At 35.9% G+C, this 21,246-nt stretch overlaps 1 long non-coding RNA gene across 1 annotated transcript in view; it reads right to left on the reverse strand.

Annotated features, from left to right (window-relative positions):
- Window positions 1-20,037, reverse strand: part of LOC105378030 (uncharacterized) — a 38,367-nt gene extending 18,330 nt beyond the window's left edge. The window contains exon 1 of the long non-coding RNA XR_001744392.2: window positions 16,175-20,037. This is a non-coding gene — a long non-coding RNA (uncharacterized LOC105378030). The remainder of the gene's footprint in view (window positions 1-16,174) is intronic.
- Window positions 20,038-21,246: the final 1,209 nt, after the last annotated feature.

Consider the following 21,246-nt stretch of genomic DNA (forward strand, 5'->3'; position numbering starts at 1 on the left):
GTTACATGAATCTATTTTCAAAAACTCATAGAAAACATACAAAAAATGTGTATTACCATTATTATTTTGAGAAGAATTTTTAAAAAATAAATAATCCATAAAACATCACAATTGTTCCTTTAATAAATTATTGACATCATTTCTGGAAATCGGCATACTTTTCTATTTTAGTTGTTATTTATTTTGTCTTTAACTTTCCTGCCTCCACCTGGGATCTTTATTAAACTTCTGTTCAAAGATCTTTTAGTATCCATAGTAGTATGACTCTGTTGGTGACAATTTTTCTCAACTTGTGTTTTTTTGAAATCTTTATATTGCACCTTGGTGTTTCAAGTATATTTTTGCTGGTTATAGAAGTCTAGTCAGCAAAACTTTTTGCTTATCACATTAAAGGTGTCCGTTTATTGTTTTTTGACTTTCATAATTCTGTTAGAAAGTCTGTTGTCAGGTTCAGTGTTGCCCTTTTGGAAAGAATTTATCTTTTTTTCCCCTGACTGGTTTTGGGTTTTTTTTGTTTTTATTTTTTCCAGATTTTCTCTTGATCTTTCATTTTCAGCAATTTGATTTTGATGTGTTTTAAAAACTAATTCCAAAATTCTTTTTGAAATGTAATACAATTCTTTTTTTTTTTTTTTTTTGAGACAGAGTCTTGCTCTGTCGGCCAGGCTGGAGTGCAGTGGCACAATCTCTGCTCACTGCAACCTCTGTCTCCCGGGCTCAAGCAATTCTCCTGCCTCAGCCTCCCGAGTAGCTGGGATTACAGGCGTGTGCCACCATGCCTGGCTAATTTTTGTATTTTTAGTAGAGACGGGGTTTCACCATGTTGGCCAGGCTGGTGTCGAACTGCTGACCTCAGGTGATCCACCCGCCTCGGCCTCCCAAAGTGCTGGGATTACAGGTGTGAGCCACCGCACCCAGCTTGAAATGTAATACAATTCGTTAACATGTAGTTGATTACCTTCATCAGTTTTGAAAAAATATATATAATTATTTCTTGAACCATAGTTTCTTGCCATATTCTTTCTCTCCTTTTCTTCTAGAACTCCAAAGTGTATATGGTAAAATCTTTTACAGTGTCTCTTTATGTATTTCATGCTGTTTTGTTTTACTCTGTTTTTCATTTTTTTCACTGTTTTTCTCTAAGTTTTAGTTTTAATAGGTTCTATTGATTTTCTTTAGCTGTTTGTTTTTAATGCTGAACACATCCAGTGAATGCTTACAAATATTGGATTTTTCAGTGTTAGTTTATGTACTTTTTTAATGCATATCATTTCTCTGGTAAATTTATTAATTTTTATGCAATATAATTAAGCTTCTCTTCATGCTGTTTTACATGTTTATAGTAGTAATATTAAAGCTCTTTTTGTTCATTTAGCATATAAATCTTGTAAATATATGGTTTTATTGGCTCTATTTTTCAATAATATATGCACTGGGTCACATATTATTGCTTCTTAATATGTCTACCCAATTTAGTCTCAATGCCAGACTGTTCCTAAAATGACATAAAAGCTGAATTTGATGTGTATTTCCCCAGAGATATCAAGCCTTTTTCTTGTACAGGCAGCCAGAGTGATGGATGGATCACCTTCATCCAATCAAGAAATAAGCATCTCAGGGATGGGTTACAGCTTGCATTTACCTCATTTTCACTCTGGTTTCAAAGATCTTAAGGGCACAACTTGTCTGATGTTATTAAACATCTTTCCATCTGCCAGGACTATGACTTTTAAGCACTGTTCAACTGTACGGAACTTCATTGCATGTTTCTATCCAATCCTTAAATGCCTCAGCATTCAGCTAAAGTCCAGTGGGAGAAAATTGGCAGCCCTATATTTAGGCCTTTCCAGGTTCCAAACTGTCACACTAGCCAAAGCAGCAATCAAAAGCTCCACTGGTTTATCTTTAGCCCAGCAGACTCTTCCTACTTAGGCAAGCCTGGTCCACAGTCCATGCCCAGATTTGCAAATGTTCCCTGAGGAAAAAAACAATAAAATCCATTGAGAGGGGGGCGGTAAGAACTTCTACTCAACTGGGAAAGAATCTTTTCTGTCTAATGTCTTCTAAAATAATATGACATTTGTAACAATCATTTTCCCACTTTAAACAGTGGGAATTATGGCTTACATAATAATTGGAGTACAAAACTATATAATGGAAACTTAAGACAGTTATTGTAAATATTTCAGAAATATGACAGCATATCTAAAGATGAGCCATCACATCACCTACCTCTAAAATGAAACTTATTAATAAATTGAGATTGAAGAATATGACTCAGAATAATGCAGAACTTTCTCAATGCAATTACTTCTTTTTTTTTGTTTCGAGACGGAGTTTCGCTCTGCCACCCAGCATGATCTCGGCTCACTGCAAGCTCCGCTTCCCGTTTTCACGCCATTCTCCTGCCTCAGCCTCCCGAGTAGCTGGGACTACAGGCGCCTGCCACCACACCCGGCTAATTTTTTGTATTTATAGTAGAGACGGGGTTTCACCGTGTTAGCCAGGATGGTCTCGATCTCCTGATCTCGTGATCCGCCTGCCTCGGCCTTCCAAAGTGCTGGGATTGCAGGTGTAAGCTACCGCTCACGGCCGTTACCTATTCTTTTTTTTGTTTTGTTTTGTTTTCTTTTTGCAAACCAAAGAATTTTATTTGGAGTAATAGCTAAGAAAACAGCTTTTTATGGAAACTGAAAAAGAGAGTAGAGGAAATGTAAGAGCTACTCCTTAAGAAATAACTTTAATAGTTAAAAAACTTTCGTAGAATCTTACTAAAAAGGAGACAACATTAGTTTAACTTTTGACAGAGATAAAAATAACTGAGCAAGAATCTGGCCTAATAACCAGACCTTGGATTAGTATACTTTCTAGTTATAGATGTAAAACCTCAAAGTACATATATTCAGTACAAGTCAAAAAAATATAAAATAGTGCTAGAACATCCTTTACTTTTTCATGTCCTTGAAAATGAGAAGAGTAATATACTTAAGTAATTCCTTCTTAAGAATGTCCCTTAAACTGTAACAACTTCATAGCAGCTTGACTTAGTGTACTTATTCCTTAAAACAGCAGTCCCCAACCTTTGGGCACCGGGGACTGGTTTCATGGAAGACAACTTTTCCACGGATGAGGGGGGTGGTTTGGGGATGAAATTGTTCCACCTCAGATCATCAGGCATTAGTTAGATTCTCATAAAAATATGCACAACCTAGATTCCTCACATGCGCAGTTGACAATAGGGATCACACTCCTATGAGAATGTAATGCCGCTGATCTGACAGGAGACAAAACTCAGGCAGTAATGCTGGTTCACCTGCTGCTCACCTTCTGCTGTGCAGTCCAGTTTCTAATAGGCCACAGACCTGTACCAGTCCGCGACGCAGCATGTGGGGACCGCTGCTTTAAAAGTCATAAAGATGATAAATTCAGAAATAATTTAAGCAGCCTACTCTCAAATAAATACTTGTAAAATATTGAAATGTCTAGGAGCCAAGTGGTCCAGAAATGAGAAGTACATCATATTATACGTTCCTTTTGTCACTAATTTAAATCATTCTTTCATTTACAGCTCAGGGTCCTTTAATTGTCTGCCTAGTCTATACATATAAGTTATAAAGTACCTACTATGATCTACATGAAAGGAAAGTATTATAGAGAACAAACAGAGCCAATGAAATCCCCAAATTAGAAATATTCCTTCCTTAGGTAGATTTGGTAAAATAAAATAAAACAAAATAAAATAGCCACTGTTTAGCTTATGTTGCCAAGTCAATTGACTAGAAACTATAGTTTTTTGTTGGTTTGTTTGTTTGTTTTTGTAAATAGTGTTTCACTTTGTCACTCAGGCTGGAGTGCAATGGTGCAATCTGGGCTCACTGCAACCTCAGCCTCCCAGGTTCAAGCGATTCCCCTGCCTTAGCCTTCCAAGTAGCTGGGATTACAGATGCCCACCACCACGCCCAGCTACTTTTGTTTCTGTATTTTTATTAGAGATGGGGTTTCACCATGTTGGCAAGGCTGGTCTTGAACTCCTAACCCCAAGTGACCGCCCACCTCAGCCTCCCAAAGTGCTGGGATTACAGGCATGAGCCACTGCGCCCAGCCTAGAAACTGTAGTTCTTAAATGTTTCTCTGGTAGACTCAGAAATAATTAGCTCTGTCTTGTTTTCCTTCCTCTTTCTTCCTTCTCTTTCTCTTCCTCCCTTTTCTTATTTAAATATTAACCTTTGAAATGATTGTAGTTAACAACAATATACTGTATTCTCGAGAAATGCTGAGAGTAGATTTTAAGTGTTCTCATCACAAAAATGATAACTACATGAGGTAAAGTATGTTAATTAGCTTGATTTAGCCATTCCACAATGTATACACATTTCAAATTACCATACTGTGTACACTAAAAATATACAATTTTATGTCAATTTAAAAAAATAAAAAATTTAAAAACCTAATGAAGTAACAGAATGAAGCAAATAGTATCCTCTCCTGATTTAACTCAGAGGCTTTACTTTAGCATTTCTTCATTATTGGATCAAATCAAAGTTCACAGTAGCTCTTCAATAAATATTTCTTGAATAAATGAATGGATCAAATTCAGGGAATATGGGAATAAATAATGGAGTGAGTTAAAATATGTATCACTTTAAGATTTGGAACCTCTGGGAAAATTATTTTTTATTTCTGATCACATAATACCCTCAAGTTATTTCATTCCTTCATTTTTTTTTATTTGGACAGAATAGAATATTTTTCATCCATGCTACTTAAACGTTCTTTTGGGTCCTTGCTGTCTTTTGCTATAACCTGAATATCAATTGTTCTTTAATATTTTATCTTTAGTGTTTGGCTAAGTTATATTTCATGGCATGTAATAACATTTGTAATGCTATTCATAGTAGATAGATTCAATTTGCCCTCTCAATGGCTTTATACTTGAATAAGCACCTGTGCTTTTTCTACTGAGCCTATGAAAAGTTTCTCATCAAAATATATACTTTGTTGGTAAGCATATCCTGTTATTTGGTATTTTATTTGACATTAAATATATGAACTAGTATAAAAGTACAAAAATATGAAAGAAAGAAATAATAATTGAAATTTAGCATAATTAATGCTCTATTTTTCAAAAGAACCATTAAGAAAATGAGTTGGCAAGCCATAGAGTGGGGAAAATTATTTCCAATCCATATATCAGATAAAGGACTCATAATCAGACTAGATAAAGAATTGTACATAAGAAATACAAAGAAAAATCAATAAAAATGGTCAAAATTTAGAACAGATGTATGAAAAAGAATGACAAAATATCTAAGAAGCACATAAAAATGTGCCCAACATTATTAGTTGTCAAGGAAGCATAAAATCAAAATAGTTGACTACTATACATTCCTAAAATGGCTAAAATTTTTAAAGACTGACAAAACCAAAGGTTACCGTGAATATACAGCAACTGGAGCTTTTCTAATTAGTAGTGGTTGAGTAACATAATAAAAATAAACAGGAAAATTAATAATTTCTTATAACAATGCATATTTACTTCTTCTGTGATCTAGTGATTCCTCTTCTATGTAGAGTGCAAGATAAATTAAAATATATGTACATAAAATGTTCATACAAAACTATTTACAATAGCTGAATTCATCCTAGCCAAAACCCAGAATACTTAAGAACAGAAAATGGATAAACAAACAATTATAATATGGAACACTCCTCACCAACAGTGAATGCATTTCAAAATTATTAAGGTTAAAGAAACCAGACACAAAAGATTAGATATCATATGATTCTACTTATATGAAGTTCTAGAACAAGTGAAACAAAGCTATAGTGATAAAAGCCCAAATTTGCCTCAGGATGTAGGGGTGGGGATTGACTAAGAAGGGGTGCAATGGAACTTTATGGAGTGATGAAAATTTTCTATGTAATAGTGTTGTGGGTTACACATGTGTAAGAACTTGTCAAAGTCGATTAAACTATAAACATAAGGTATACATATTTCACTGTAAATTTCATTATATAATGTCAATTTATAATATATATCCCAATTTATAATACATAACTAGAAATATAGAACAAATTCAGAAGAAACTGTTGTTGGATTTTGGAGGTGGAGCAAGACAACTGAATAGAATCCTCCACTGATTGTCCTCCCTATAGGAACACCAAATTCTACAATTATCTACAGAAAAAAAAGCACCTTCATAAGAAACAAAAATCAGGTAATTGATGCCAGTACCTGATTTTAACTTTACATCACTGAAAGATGCACTGAAGAGGGTAGGAAAGACAATCTTGAACTGGCAAAGTCAGCCATCCCCGCAACCCCAGCAGAAGACACTGGGCAAAAAGAGAGAATCTGTGTGCCTGTGGGAGGGAGAGCATAGTAATTGTGGGACTTTGCACTGGAACTCAGGGTTGCCAACACCAGGCAGAAATCAGCAAACACTCATGAAGGGAGTATTCAGACAAGCCCTAGCAAGAGCGGAATCGCCCATCCCAGCAGTCAGAACTTTAGGTTGTGAGCTTTCCCATGGCAGCCTAAAAAGTGCTCTGGGGTCCTAAATAAACTTGAAAGACTGTCTAGGACACAAGGAATGCAACTCTTAGACAAGTCCTAGGGCTCTGCTGGGCTCAAAGCCAGTGGCTTTGGGGGGCATATTACCTAGTGAGATACCAGCCTGAGCAGCTAAGGGAGTATTTGCACCACCCCTACCCCAAACCCAGGCAGCGCAGCTCACAGTTCCAAAAAATACCTTTTAATTCAACTTGAGGAGAGGAGGGGGAAAAATAAAGAGGATTTTGAAGTGCAACTTGGATATCAGCTCAGCCATAGTATGATAGGGCACGGAGTACAGCCGGGAGGCCCCCCTTCCAGGCCCTAGACCCCAGTTGACATTTCTAGACACAACTTGGGCCAGAAGGGAACACATTGCCTTGAAGGGAAGGACCCAGTACTGGCAGAATTCACTACCTGCTGACTAAAGAGCCCTTAAGCACTGAATAACAGCAGCAGTAACCAGGTAATACAAACCATGAGCCTTGGGTGAGACTCTGAAACACACTGGATTCAGGTGTGACCCAGCATATACACAGCTGTAGTGGCAATGAGAGATATCCCTTCTGTATGAGAAATATAGAGTGAAGAATGAAGGGGACTTTGTCTTACTGCTTAGGTACCAGCTCAGCCACAGTGGGGAAGTGAGTTCTTGGGTTCCCTGATTCCCAATTTTTGCTCTTGGACAGCATTTCTGTATGCACCCTGGGCCAGAAGGGAGCCCACTGCCCTATAAAATGAGTCACAGGCCTGGGAGAATTCACCATAAGCTGACTGAGGAAACCTTGTGCCTTAAGTAAATACCTGTGGTACTCTGGCAGTACTCCCCACGGGCCTGTGGTGGTGGTGAACATGGGGAGAAACTCCTCTGCCTGGAGAAAAGGGAAGATAGATTGGGAAGGACTTTGTCTTGTGATTTTGGTGCCAGCTTAGCCACAGTAGAATAGAACACCAAGTAGATTTCTGAGGTTTCTGACTCCAGCTCTAGCTCCAAGATAGCATCTCTGAACAAACCCAGGACCAGGGAGTGCTCACCATGCTAAAGGGAAGGACACAAGACTGGCTGGTGTTGCCACCTGCTGATTGTAGAGCCCTAGGTCATTAGGCAAACATAGGCAGTGGCCAAGTGGTGGTTACAATGGGCTTTGGGCGAGACTCAATGCTGACCTGGCCGCAGGTCTGACCCAGTGCAGTCCTAGTAGTGGTGGCCAAAGGTGTGCATGTGTTACCCCTCTCATAGCTCCAAACAACTCAGCATAGAGAGAGAGGAAGATTCAATTTGTTTGGGAGAAAGTAAAGGAAGAGAACAGGAGTCTCTGCCTGTAATCCAGGGCATTCTAGCGACGCTTATCCAAGATTACCAATGCAGTACGTCTACAAGTATGCAAGAACTACAGCATTACTTAGCTCTGGGTACACCCTAATTTAGATACAGCTTCAGTGACCAAAGCTTAGATCACAACACCCAAGTCCTTTGAATACCTGGAAAACCTTCCCAAGAAGGATGGATACAAAAAAGCCCGGACTGTGATGACTACAATAAATACCTAACTCTTCAAAGACCAGACACCAGCAAACATCCACAAGCATGAAGAACATCCAGGAAAACATGAATTCACTAAATGAACTAAATAAGGTACCAAGAACAAATCTCAGAGACACAGAGATAATTGATCTTTTACACAGAATTTAAAATAGCTATTTTGAGGAAACTCAAAGAAATTCAACACGATGCAGAGAAAGAATTCAAAATCCTACCAGATAAATTTAACAAAGAGATTAAAATATTTAAATACAATCAAGAAGAAATTCTGGAGTTGAAAATGCAATTGACCTACTGAAGAATGCATCAGAGTTGTTTTCTTTTGCTTTTGAGACAGAGTCTCATTCACTCTACAGCTCAGGCCGGAGTCCAGTGGCATAATCTTAGCTGACTGCAGCCTCCATCTCCCAGGTTCAAGTGATTCTCCTACCTCAGCCTCCTGAGTCGCTGGAATTAGAGGTGTGAGTCTCTGCACCAGGCTCATCAGAGACTTTTAACAGCGGAATTGATCAAACAGAAGAAAGAATTAGTGAGTAACAGGCTATTTGAAAATATACATTCAGAAGAGACAAAATGAAAAAGATTTTTAAAAAATGAAACACACCTACAAGATCTAAAAAATATACTTAAAAGGGCAAAACTAAGTGTTATTGGCCTTAAAGAGGAGGTAGAGAAAGGGATAATAAAAAGTTTATTCAAGGGAATAATAACAGAGAAATTTCCAAATTTAGAGAAAGATATAAATATCCAAGGAAAAGAAGGTTATAGAACACCACTGTGACTTAACCAAAAGAAGACTACTGCAAGGTATTTAATAATCAAACTCCAAAATGTCAAGGATAAAGAAAGGATTCTGAAGGCAACAAGAGAAAAGAAAAATAATAATATGCAATTGAGCTCCAATATGCCTGGCAGAAGACTTTTTGGTGGAAATCTTACGAGCCAGGAGAGAATGGCATGACATATTTAAAGTGATGAAAAGAAAAATATTTTACTCCAAAATAGTATATTTTGTGAAAATACATTTCAATTGTGAAGGAGAAATACTTTCCCAGACAAACAAAAGCTGAAGAATTTCAACAATACCAGACCTGTCCTGCAGGATATGCTAAAAGAAGTACTTCAATCAGTAGGAAAAAGATGTTAATTTCCCCTGAGAAATCCTCTTAAGGTAAGAAACTCACTGGTAATTGTAAGTACACAGGAAAACACAAAACATAATAACACTATAACTCTAGTGTGTAAACTGCTATTAAGTAGAAAGTATAAAACATGAACCAATCAGAATTAATAACTACAATAACTTTTCAAGATGTAGACAATAAGATGTAAGTAGGAAGAACAAAAAGTTTAAAAGTGTGGAAACAAAGTTAAAGTGTAGAGTTTATTAGATTTTAATTTGCTTGTTTGTTAGTTTGTGTGTTTATGTAAGCAGTGTTAAGTTTGTTATCAGCTGAAAATAATGGGTTATAGAAAACTATTTGCAAGCCTCATGGTAACCTGAAATAAAAAAACACACAATGGATACACAACAAACAAAAAGTAAGAAATTAAATCATACCACCAGAGTAAAACACCTTCATTAAAAGGAAGACAGGAAGAAAGGAAAGAAGAAAGAGAAGACCACAAAACCACTAGTAAACTAATGAGAAAATGGCGGAAGTTAGTCCTTACTTAATGATAATTACGTTTATTGTAAATAAACTAAATTTTTCAATAAAAAGACAAGGAGTGGCTCAATAGATTTAAAAAAACAAGAACTCTATAATCTGTTGCCTACATGAAGTACACTTTACTTATAAAGACATATATACACTGAAAATAAAGAGATGGAAAAAAAATATTCCATGCCAGTGAAAACCAAAAAAGACCAGGATTAGGTATACTTATATCAGACAAAATAGATTTCAAGATAAAACTATAAGAAGAGACAAAGAAGGTCATTATGTAATGATAAAGGTGTTGATTCTTCAAGAGGATATAAAAATTATAAAAATGCTTGCATTCAACACTAGAAGACCAAGATATATGAAGTAAATATTATTAGAGATGGACCAAAATACAATAATAGCTAGAGAGTCCAACTCCCCACTTTTAGCATTGGACTGATTTTCTAGACAGAAAATCAACAAAGAAACATCAGACTTAATCCGCATTATAGACCAAACATACCTAATATATATTTATGAAACATTTCATCCAGTGGCTTTAGAATACACATTATTTTCCTCAGCACATGGATCATTCTCAACAATAGACCATATGTTAGGCCACAAAGAAAGTATTAAAATATTTTAAAAACACTATCAAATATCTTCTCTGCCCACAATATAATAAAGTTAGAAATCAATAACCTGAGAGAATTTGAAAACTATAGAAACACATAGAAATTAAGGAATATGTTCCAGAATGACCAGTAGATCAATGAATAAATAAAGAAGGAAATTGAAAAATTTCTTGAAACAAATTACAATGAAAACACAATATACCAAAACCTACTGGATACATCAAAAGTGTCAATAAGAAGGAATTTTATAGCTCTAAGTGCCTATATCAAAAAAGAACAAAAATTTCAAATAAACAACCCAATGATGCATCTTAAAAACCGAAAAGCAAGACCAAACCAAACCCAAAGTTAGTCAAAGAAAAGAAATAATAAAGGTCGAGCAGAATCAATGAAATAGAAACAAAGAAAACAATACAAAAAATCAAAAAAATAAAAAGTTGGGTTTTTTTTAAAAAGATAAAATTGACAAACCTTTAGCCAGAGTAACTACAAAAAAAAGAGTGGAGATCCAAATAAATAAAATCAGAGATGGAAAAGGAGACATTACAACTAACACCATAGAAATTCTAAGATCATTAGAGGCTATGATGAGCAACTACATGTCAATCAATTGCAAAACCTGGAAGAAATGGATAAATACCTGACACATACAAACTACCAAAAATGAACCATGAAGAAATCCAAAACATGAACAGACCAATAGCAAGTAACAAGATCAAAGCCATACTAAAAAGTCTCCAAGAAAAGAAAAGCCCAGGACCCAATGGCTTCACTGCTGAATTCTACCAAACATTTAAAGAAGAGTTAATACCAATTCTACTCAAACTATTCCAAAAAATAAAGGCAGAGGGAATACTTCCAAACTCCTTCTATGGGGCCAGTATTACCCTGATACCAAAACCAGACAAAGACAAATCAAAAAGGAAAACTACAGGCCAATATCTCTGATAAACATTGATGCAAAAATCCTCGACAAAATACTAGCAATTTATATCAACAACACATTAATAATATCATTCATCACGACTAAGTGAGATTTATCCCAGAGATGGAAGGATTTTTCAACGTATGCAAATTACTCAATGTGACACATCGTGTCAGCAGAATGAAGGATAAAAACCATATGATCATTTGAATTGATGCTGAAAAATCATTTGATAAAATTCAACATCCCTTCATGATAAAAACCCTCACAAAGCTGGGTTTAGAAACAACAAAATAATATATCAACATACTAAAAGCCATATATGACAGACCTACAGCTAATATTATGCTGAATGGTGAGAAACTGAAAGCCTTTCCTCTAACATTTGGAATACCATTAGGTTGCTCACTTTCATTGCTGTTACTCAACATTGTACTAGAAGTCCTACCTAGAGAAATTAGACAAGAGAAAGAAATAAAGAGCATCAAAATTGAAATAAAAGAAGTCACATTATCCTTATTTACAGAAAACATTATCTTATATTTGAAAAAAATGGTTCAAACTGATAACAAATTCAGTAAAATTACAGGAAACAAAATAAACATACAAAAATCTGTAGCATTTCTATAACCAGAGAGCAAACAATTGGAACAAGACATCAGGAAAATAATCCCATTTACAATAGCTACAAATAAAATAAAATACCTAGGAATTAATTTAACCAAAGAAATGAAATATCTCTGTAATGAAAATATTTACACATTGATGAAAAAAATTGAAAGGGACAAGAAAAAATTGAAAGATATTCCATGTTCACGGATTGGAAGTATCAATTATGTCAAAATATTCATACTACCCAAAGCAATCTACAGATTCAATGCAATCTCTATCAAAATATCAATTACATTTTTCATAAAAATAGAAAAAAACAATTCTGAAACTTATATGGAACCACAAAACATTCAGTACAGTCAAAGATCTCCTGAGCAAAAGAAAAAAAATACTGGAGAAATGATATTATATGACTTCAAATTCTCCTACAGAGGTATAGTAGTAACCAAACAGCATGGTACTGACATTAAAACGGACACATAGACCAATGGAACAGAATAAAGCACCCAGAAACGTAACAATACATTTACAGCGAACTCATTTTCAACAAAAGTGCCAAGAACATGCATTGGGGAAGGACAGTGTCTTCAATAAATGGTATTGGGAAACCTGAGTCTCCATATGCAGAACGAAATTCGACCCCTATCTTTGGCCGTATGCAAAAATCAAATAAAAATGGATTAAAGAGTTAATTAAGTCTAAGACTTAAAACTATGAAACTACTATAAGAAAATATTGGGGAAAATCTCCAGGATATTGAACTGGGCAAAGATTTCTTGAGTAATATCCCACAAGCACAGGTAACCAAAGCAAATATTGGCAAACGGGATCACACCAAGTTAAAAAGCTTCTGCACAGTGAAGGAAACAATCAACAATGTGAACAGACAACCCACAGAGTTGGAGAAAACATTTACAAAGTATCCATTTGACAAGGGTTCAATAATGAGAATATATAAGGACCTAAAACAACTCTATGGGGAAAATATAATAATTTAATTTTAAACTGTGCAAAAGATATGAATGGACATTTCTCTAAAGAAGACATTCAATGGCAAAGAGATATACGAAAAGGTGCTCAACACCACTGATCATCAGAGAAATGCAAATCAAAAGTACAATGAGCTATCACTTCCCAGTTGAAATGGCCTCTATTCAAAAGGCAGACAATAACAAATGCTGCAGAGGATGGATGTTTAGAAAAGGGAACCATTGTACACTCTTGCTAGAGATGGAAATTAGTGCAATCACCATGGAGAACAGTTTAGCAGTTCCTCAAAAAACTAAAATTGAGCTATCATACGATCCTGCAATTCTACTCCTAGGTATATATCCAAAAGAAAAAAAAATGGTATATTGAATAAATATCTACACTCTCATGTTTATTGTGGCACTATTCACAATAGCCAAGATTTGGAAGCAAACTAAGTGTCCATCAACAGATAAACGGTTAAATAAAATGTGGTACATATACACAATGGAGTACTATTCACCCATAAGAAAAATGATATCCTGTCATTTGCAACAACATGGGTGGAACTGGAGATCATTATGTTAAGTGAAATGAGCCAGGCAAAAGAGTGAAGGAGAAACAGCCACATCTTACATGGGCAGAGCAGGAGGAAGAGAGGGCAGGGAATGTGCTACACACTTTTAAACTGAGCACTCACTATCACAATAGCAGCAATGGGGTAGGGGGGATCTGCCCCCATGACACAATCACCTCCTACCAGGCCCCACCTCCAACACTGGGTATTATCATTCAACATGAGATTTGGATGGGGACACAAATCTAAACCATATCGCTTACCAATCCACCAGTTCATGTTATTTCTAGTATGTGATATTATCAATAGAGCAGCTCTAAATATTGGCATACAGGTTTTACATGAACATGTGTCCTCATTGCTCTCGGTTAAGTACCTAGGAGAGGATTTCTGGGTAGGATGGTAATGTATAAGTTTATAAGAAAGGCTCTGTCAAACCGATTTGCAATATGGATGTAACATTTTGCATTCCCACCAGCAAAATCTGAGAGTACTGTTATTCTTCATCTTCAACAGCATTTATTAGTGTCAGTTTTTATTTATTTGATCCATGCTAATAGGTGCGTGGTACTATCTATTGGAGTTTTAATTTCCATTTCCTTAATGACTTATGACATTTATGTTCTTATTTACTAGTTGTATGTCTTCTTCAGTAAAATACTGTTACAAACATTCACCCTTTAATTGGATTGTTTGTTTTCTTTGTAATGAGATTTGAAAGTTCTTTACATAACTTGGTTATCAGTCCTTTGTCACCTCTGTACTTTGCAAATATTTTCTACCTGTCTGTGGCTCGTCATTTCTTTTTCTTTGGAAAAAGTAGTGTATTTTGAAAATCAGAATTTTTTTTTTTTTTTTTTTTTTTGAGACGGAGTCTCGCTCTGTCGCCCAGGCTGGAGTGCAGTGGCGGGATCTCGGCTCACTGCAAGCTCCGCCTCCCGGGTTCACGCCATTCTCCTGCCTCAGCCTCCCAAGTAGCTGGGACTACAGGCGCCCGCCACTACGCCCGGCTAATTTTTTGTATTTTTAGTAGAGACGGGGTTTCACCGTTTTAGCCGGGATGGTCTCGATCTCCTGACCTCGTGATCCGCCCGCCTCGGCCTCCCAAAGTGCTGGGATTACAGGCGTGAGCCACCGCGCCCGGCCCAGAATTTTTAAACTTTGATGACCTCTATTGTATTAGTTTTTTCTTTTATGAATTATGCTTTTTGTGGCCTAAGAAACTAAAATTTATGAATATTTATATTTCCTGGAAGTTTTACAGTTTTAGGTTTTAAATTGATGCCTATGATTCATTTCAATTTAGTTTCAAATTTAGTTCAAGGTATGAATTGAAGTTCTTTTTTGCATGTGGATATCTAATTGTCTCAGTGCCATTTGTGGAAAATGATGTTGTTGTTGGTTGTATTTCTAATTTTCTCTCTCATATTCAATCTATCAATGTATTTATCCTTTTACTAATACTACATTTTCTTGACTACAATAAATTTATGTTAATCTTGAATCAAGTAGTTTAAAAAATACATGTATTTTGAGTATTAACTCTTCTATAGTGTAGTATATTTAATTTCTAAATATACCTTATAGTCTTTCCATGACACTTTTCTTCTCAGTTTACCTGTTAAATATTTAATCTACAATTTGAAATACTACCATGCTATCAAATATTAGAAAATTCCATTCTGCATTCCTCATTTGACTTTTTACAATAAAATATATCCCTGAGATCAGTACATCATTAACATTATCAAATAAGACCTCCCATTTTTCTCTAACCTGAAAATATTTAACTATATGATTCAATTTACTCAATCTGAATAGTAAGTTATATAAAATATTTATGTCAGAGTATTTTCAAAGGGGATTTGAAGTTCATTACAAAGGGGACAATATGATTATAATAAAGCTAATAATTGAGATGTGCCTAAGTTTTTCCAAGGCTTCTTTTCGCTGGAGGTAAAAATAGGTTAATGGTAGTAGCTATAATCCTGTCAAAAAGGGTTTCTAACCCTACTTACTCATATAATAATTTCTAGTCACATTCAAAGTCACTCTCTGTCATCTCTGGAAATTTTTATGCAGTTGCTCACATGTAATTAACAACTAGAATATCAGCCAAAGTTATCCTGCAGTAGTAACCATATTTTCAATTTCTATTCTGATACTTAGTCTATGCCAATCTCCACTGCTCTCAAAATCACCTAACAAAATCTTATTATTGTATCTTTGGCACGTATTCAATTTAAAAGTCATAATCTCCAATAAGAATTGGATGTTAAAAACAGCAGTCTATTATATGAATCAAATGTATGGTTGGCTAAACATTTTTAAATCTTTATCCTTTCTTGGATTAGGAAACACAATGAGCACCTGATTCTCTCTACAATTTCCCCTTGATTCAGATTTTTTATGATCTGTCATCTGGAGACTTAGCAAACCTCTTATCTTATTTCCAAATCACCTGTCTCTTTTCCTTCTAGTTTTTCCCACTGTCAAAATGAAAATCTCCTGCAAAAATGGTTCTATTATATCAATTATTTCATAATTGTTGTATTTCTCTGTAGACATGGCAGATCAAATGTTTTTAATATATCACTCCCATGAATTCTATAAAAGTATAATAAATGGATTTACAATAATGGTTTAATTGACCCAAAGGTATTCAGTGGTGAATTCTACCATGTATTTAAGTAAGAAATTATACCAACCTTTTACAGTCTCTTCCAGAAGATAGACACAGGGGAAGTACTTCCCAATTCATTCTATGAGTTCAGTATTGCCCTAATACCAAAACCAAAGAAAGATATTACAAAAAAAGAAAACTATGGAACAATGTCTCTCATGAAGACAGATAAAAAAGTCCTCAACAAAATATTAGAAAACTGAATTCAGCAATGCATTAAAAGAATTATATACCACAACCAATTGGTATTTGTCCCAGCAATGCAAGACTGGTTCAAGGTTCAAAAAGAAAGTAATGTAACATATTACATCAACAAGCTAAAGAAGAAAAGGCACATGTTCATATCAGTTGATACAGGAAAAGCATCTGATACAACCCAGCAGCCATTTATGATAAAAACTCTCAGAAAAGTAGAAATAGAGGGGAACTTTCTCAACTTTATGAAGAATATCTATTGAAAACCTCAGCAAATATCCTACTTAATGATGAAAAACTGAAAACTTTTCTATTAAGACCAGGAAAATATAAGAATGTCGTCTTACCACTCCTTTTCAACATTGTCGTGGAAGCTCTAGCTAGTAAAATGAGAAAATAAAATATATGATATATAGATTGAGAAGAAAACAATTAAATTGTCATTGTTCTCAGATGGCATAAATGTCTATTTAGAAAATCTGAAAGAACTGACCAAAAAGAAAAGAAAACTAGTAAGCTTTTTATAGCAAAAAACTGGAACTAGTAAGCAATTATAGCAAAGTTTCAGGTTACGAAGTTAATATACAAAAGTCAATCACTTTCCTAACTACCAGTAATGAACAAATGGAATTTGAAATGGAAAATATTTAGTTAAAAATCTAACAAAATATATATAAGATCTAAATATCTATATGAAGAAAACAATGAAACTCTCATGAAAAAAATTAAATAGAAACTAAAAAATGGAGAGACATTCTAGTTCATAAATAGGAAGCTTCAATACTGTCAACATGTTAGTCTTTCCCAATTTCATTTATAAATTCCATGGAATCTCAATCAAAATTCTAGCTAATTGCTTTGTGGATATTGACAAACCAATAATGTTTACATTGAGAGACTAAAGACCCAGAATAGCCAACATAATATTGAAGGAAATCGAAGTCAGAGGACTGACACTACTCACCTTCAGACTTACTTTAAAGCTATCAATACACTGTATTGTTGATACAAAATAAAATAAAATAGACAAATAGGTCAATGAAGTAGAACAGAGAGTCCAGAAATATACCCACCTAAATATAGTCAAATGACTTTTTTTAAAAGGCAGAAGCAATACAATGGAGAAAATATAATTGTTTAAACAAGTTGTGTTGATATGGTTTGGCTGTGTCCTCACCCAAATCTCATCTTGAATTGTAACTCCCACAATCCCCACATGTTGTAGAAGGGACCCAGTGGGAAGAAACTGAATCACGGGAGTGGGTCTTTACTGTGCTATTCTCATGATAGCGAAAAAGTCTCATCAGATCTGATGGTTTTATAAAGGGGAGTTTCCCTCCACAAGATCTCTTCTCTTGTCTGCCACCATGTGAGACGTGCCTTTCACCTTCTGCCATGATTGTGAGACCTCCCCAGCCACGTGGAACTGAGAGTCCATTAAACCTCTTTCTTTTGTAAATTGCCCAGTCTCAGGCATGTCTTTATCAGCAGTGTGAAAACGAACTAATGCAGTAAATTGGTACCAGTAGAGTGGGGTGCTGCTGAAAAGACACATGAAAATGTGGAAGCAACTTTGGAATGGGGTAACAGATAGAACTTGGAAGAGTTTGGAGGGCTCAGAAGAAGACAGGAAAATGTGGGAAGATTTGGAACTCCCTAGACTCATTAATGGATTTGACAAAAATGCTGATAATTATATGGACAATGAAATCCAGGCTCAGGTGGTCTCAGATGGAGATGAGGAACTTGTTGGGAACTTAATCAAAGATACTGTTGTTATGTTTTAGCAAAGAGACTAGCAGCATTTTGCCCCTGCCCTAGAGATTTGTGGAACTTTGAGCTTAACAGAGATGATTTATGGTATCTGGCAGAAGAAATTTCTAAGCAGCAAAGCATTCAAGATGTGACCTGGATGCTATTAAGGGCATTCAGTTTTAAAAGGGAAACAGCATAAAAGTTTTAAAATTTGCAGCCTGACAATGGAACCTCAGCCTATATTTCAGAAGATGTATGGAAATACCTGGATGCCCAGGCAGAAGTTTGCTGCAGGGGCAGGGCCCTCATGGAGAACCTCTGCTAGGGCAGTGCAGAAGGGAGATGTGGGGTCAGAGTCCACATACAGATTCTCTTCTGGGGCACTGCCTAGTATGAACTGTGAGAAGAGGACCACCATACTCCTGACCCCGGAATGGTAGATCCACCGCCAGCTTGCCACGTGTGCCTGGAAAAGCTGCAGACACTCAACACCAGCTTGTGAAGGCAGCCAGGAGGGGGGTTATAACCTGCAAAGCCACAGGGGCAGAGCTGCCTAAGGTCGTGTAAGTCCACCTCTTGTATCAGTGTGACTTGGATACGAGACATGGAGTCAAATGAGATCATTTTGGGAGTTTTAAGATTTGACTGCACAGATTTTGGAATTGCATGGGGCCTGTAGCCCCTTTGTTTTGGCCAATTTTTCCAATTTAGAATGGTTATATTTACCCAATGCCTGTACACCCATTGTATCTAGGAAGTAACTAACCTGCTTTTGATTTTGCAGGCTCATAGGCGGAAGGGACTTGCCTTATCTCAGATGAGACTCTGGACTGCAGACTTTTGAGTTAATGGTGAACTGAGTAAAGATTTCAGGGGACTGTTAGGAAGGCATGATTGGTTTTGAAATGTGAGAACATGTGATTTAGGAAGGGCCAGGGGTGGAATGATATGGTTTGGCTGTGTCCCCCCACAAATTTCATCTGAATTTCTATGTGTTGTGGGAGGGACCCAGTGGGAGGTCATTGAATCATGGGCGTGGGTGTTTCCCATGCTGTTCTCATGATAGTGAATGAGTCTCATGAAATCTGATGGTTTCATAAGGGGGAGTTTTCCTGCATAAGCTCTCTTTTTGCCTGCTGACATCCATGTAAGATGTGACTTGCTCCTTCTTGCCTTCTGCCATGATTGTGAGGCCTCCCCAACCAATGTGAAAGTGTAAGTCCACTAAACCTCTTTCTTCTGTAAATTTCCCAGTCTCAGGTATGTCTTTATCAGCAGCATGAAAACAGACCAATGAAACCATCTGCATGCAAAAATTAATAAATCTAGGTACAGGTCTTTTATCTTTCACAAAAATTAACTCAAAATGAATTATTTACCTAAATGTGAAGTGCAAAACTGTAAATCTCCTAGAATATAATATAGAGGATAAACAAAAATCTAGTTGACCTTTGGTATAAAACGTTTTTTCCACACAGAAATCACCATATGAGTGTTTATTACAGCTTTATTCATAACTGCCAAAACTTGGAAGTAATCAAGATGTTCCTCAGTAGTGGAATGGATTTCTAAAAACTTGTGGTACATCCAGACAATAGAAGATTATTCAGTATTAAAAAGATACGAGCAGCTGGGCGTGGTGGCTCACGCCTGTAATCCCAGCACTTTGGCACTTTGGGAGGCCAAGGAGGGCGGATCACCTGAGGTCAAGAGTTCGAGATCAGCCTGGCCAACATGATAAAACCCCATCTCTACTAAAAATACAAACATTAGCCGGGCGTTGTGGCAGGCACCTGTAATCCCAGCTACTCAGGAGGCTGAGGCAGGAGAATCACTTGAACCCAGGAGGCGGAGGTTGCAGTGAGCCGAGATTGTGCCATTGCACTTCAGCCTGGGGACAAGAGCGAGACTTCGTCTCAAAAAAAAAAAAAAAAAAAAGATACGAACAATCAAGCCATGAAAAGACATGAGGGAAACTTGAATAAATATTACTAAGTGAAAGAAGCTGATCTGAAAAGATGACATACTGCATAATTCCAACTATATGACATTCTAGAAAAGGCAAAACTATAGAGATAATTTAAAAAGCAATGATTTCCAGCAGTTAGAGGGAAGGGGAAGATAAGTGAGTGGAGCACAGGATTTGGGGGCAGTGAAAGTATTCTGTATGATATTGTAATGATATATACATGTCATTATACATTTGTCAAAACATGTAGAATGTACATCAAGCATGAAACTTAATATGAACTATGGACTTCAGATAATTAAGATTTGTCAATGTCAGTTCATCAGTTGTAAAAAAATGTACCACTGTGATGTGAGATGTTGGTAGTAGGGGAAGCTTGCATATATGGGTACAGCGGGTATATAGAGAATCTGTGTACCTTCTAATCAATTACTCTGTGACCATACAGCTGCTTTGAAAGTAAAGTCTGTCTTTAAAAATAAGATTTAAATTGGCTAACTCTTCACAGTAAAGAGAACAGGAAAGAAAAAAGCAGCAACACAATTCTGAAAACTGAAAAATAGAGAGACAGTGGCTATTGATGTAGCTGACTAGAGAAAGTGGATTTCATTCAAGTAGCAGCAAGAACAAAAATAGAGTTTGGCAAACTCACAATATGATTAAAATAATTTACTTTTCACCAGAGGGTTTGGAAGATAAATTTGAGAACAACTACTCATGGGCAAAACTAAAACAAAAGAGATAAGATAAAATACAAAATAATACTAGTCTATGAGGTAGAATACTTTAAAAGACAACTTCAAAGAAGAGAGGAAAAGGAACTGGGTCAATTTGTGAATAAAATTTCAAAGACTAATATCCTAAATTGAAGGACATTTTCTTTTTATATTTTTTATTTTTATGGGTACATAATAGCTGTATATAGTTCTGGGGTACATGAGATGTTTTGACATAAGCATGCAACGTGAAATAGGTACATCGTTAGAATGGGATATCCATCCCCCTTAAGCATTTATGTATTGAGTTTCAAGCAATTCAATTACACTCTTTAAGTTATGTTAAAATGTACAGTTATTATTGACTATACTCACCCTTTTGTGCTATCAAATGGTAGAACTTATTCATTCATCTATTTTTAACCTATTAATAATCCTTCTCCCAGGCCCCATTACTCTTCC

The sequence above is a fragment of the Homo sapiens genome, chromosome 6 (assembly GCF_000001405.40).
Source record: "Homo sapiens chromosome 6, GRCh38.p14 Primary Assembly".
NCBI lineage: Eukaryota > Metazoa > Chordata > Mammalia > Primates > Hominidae > Homo > Homo sapiens.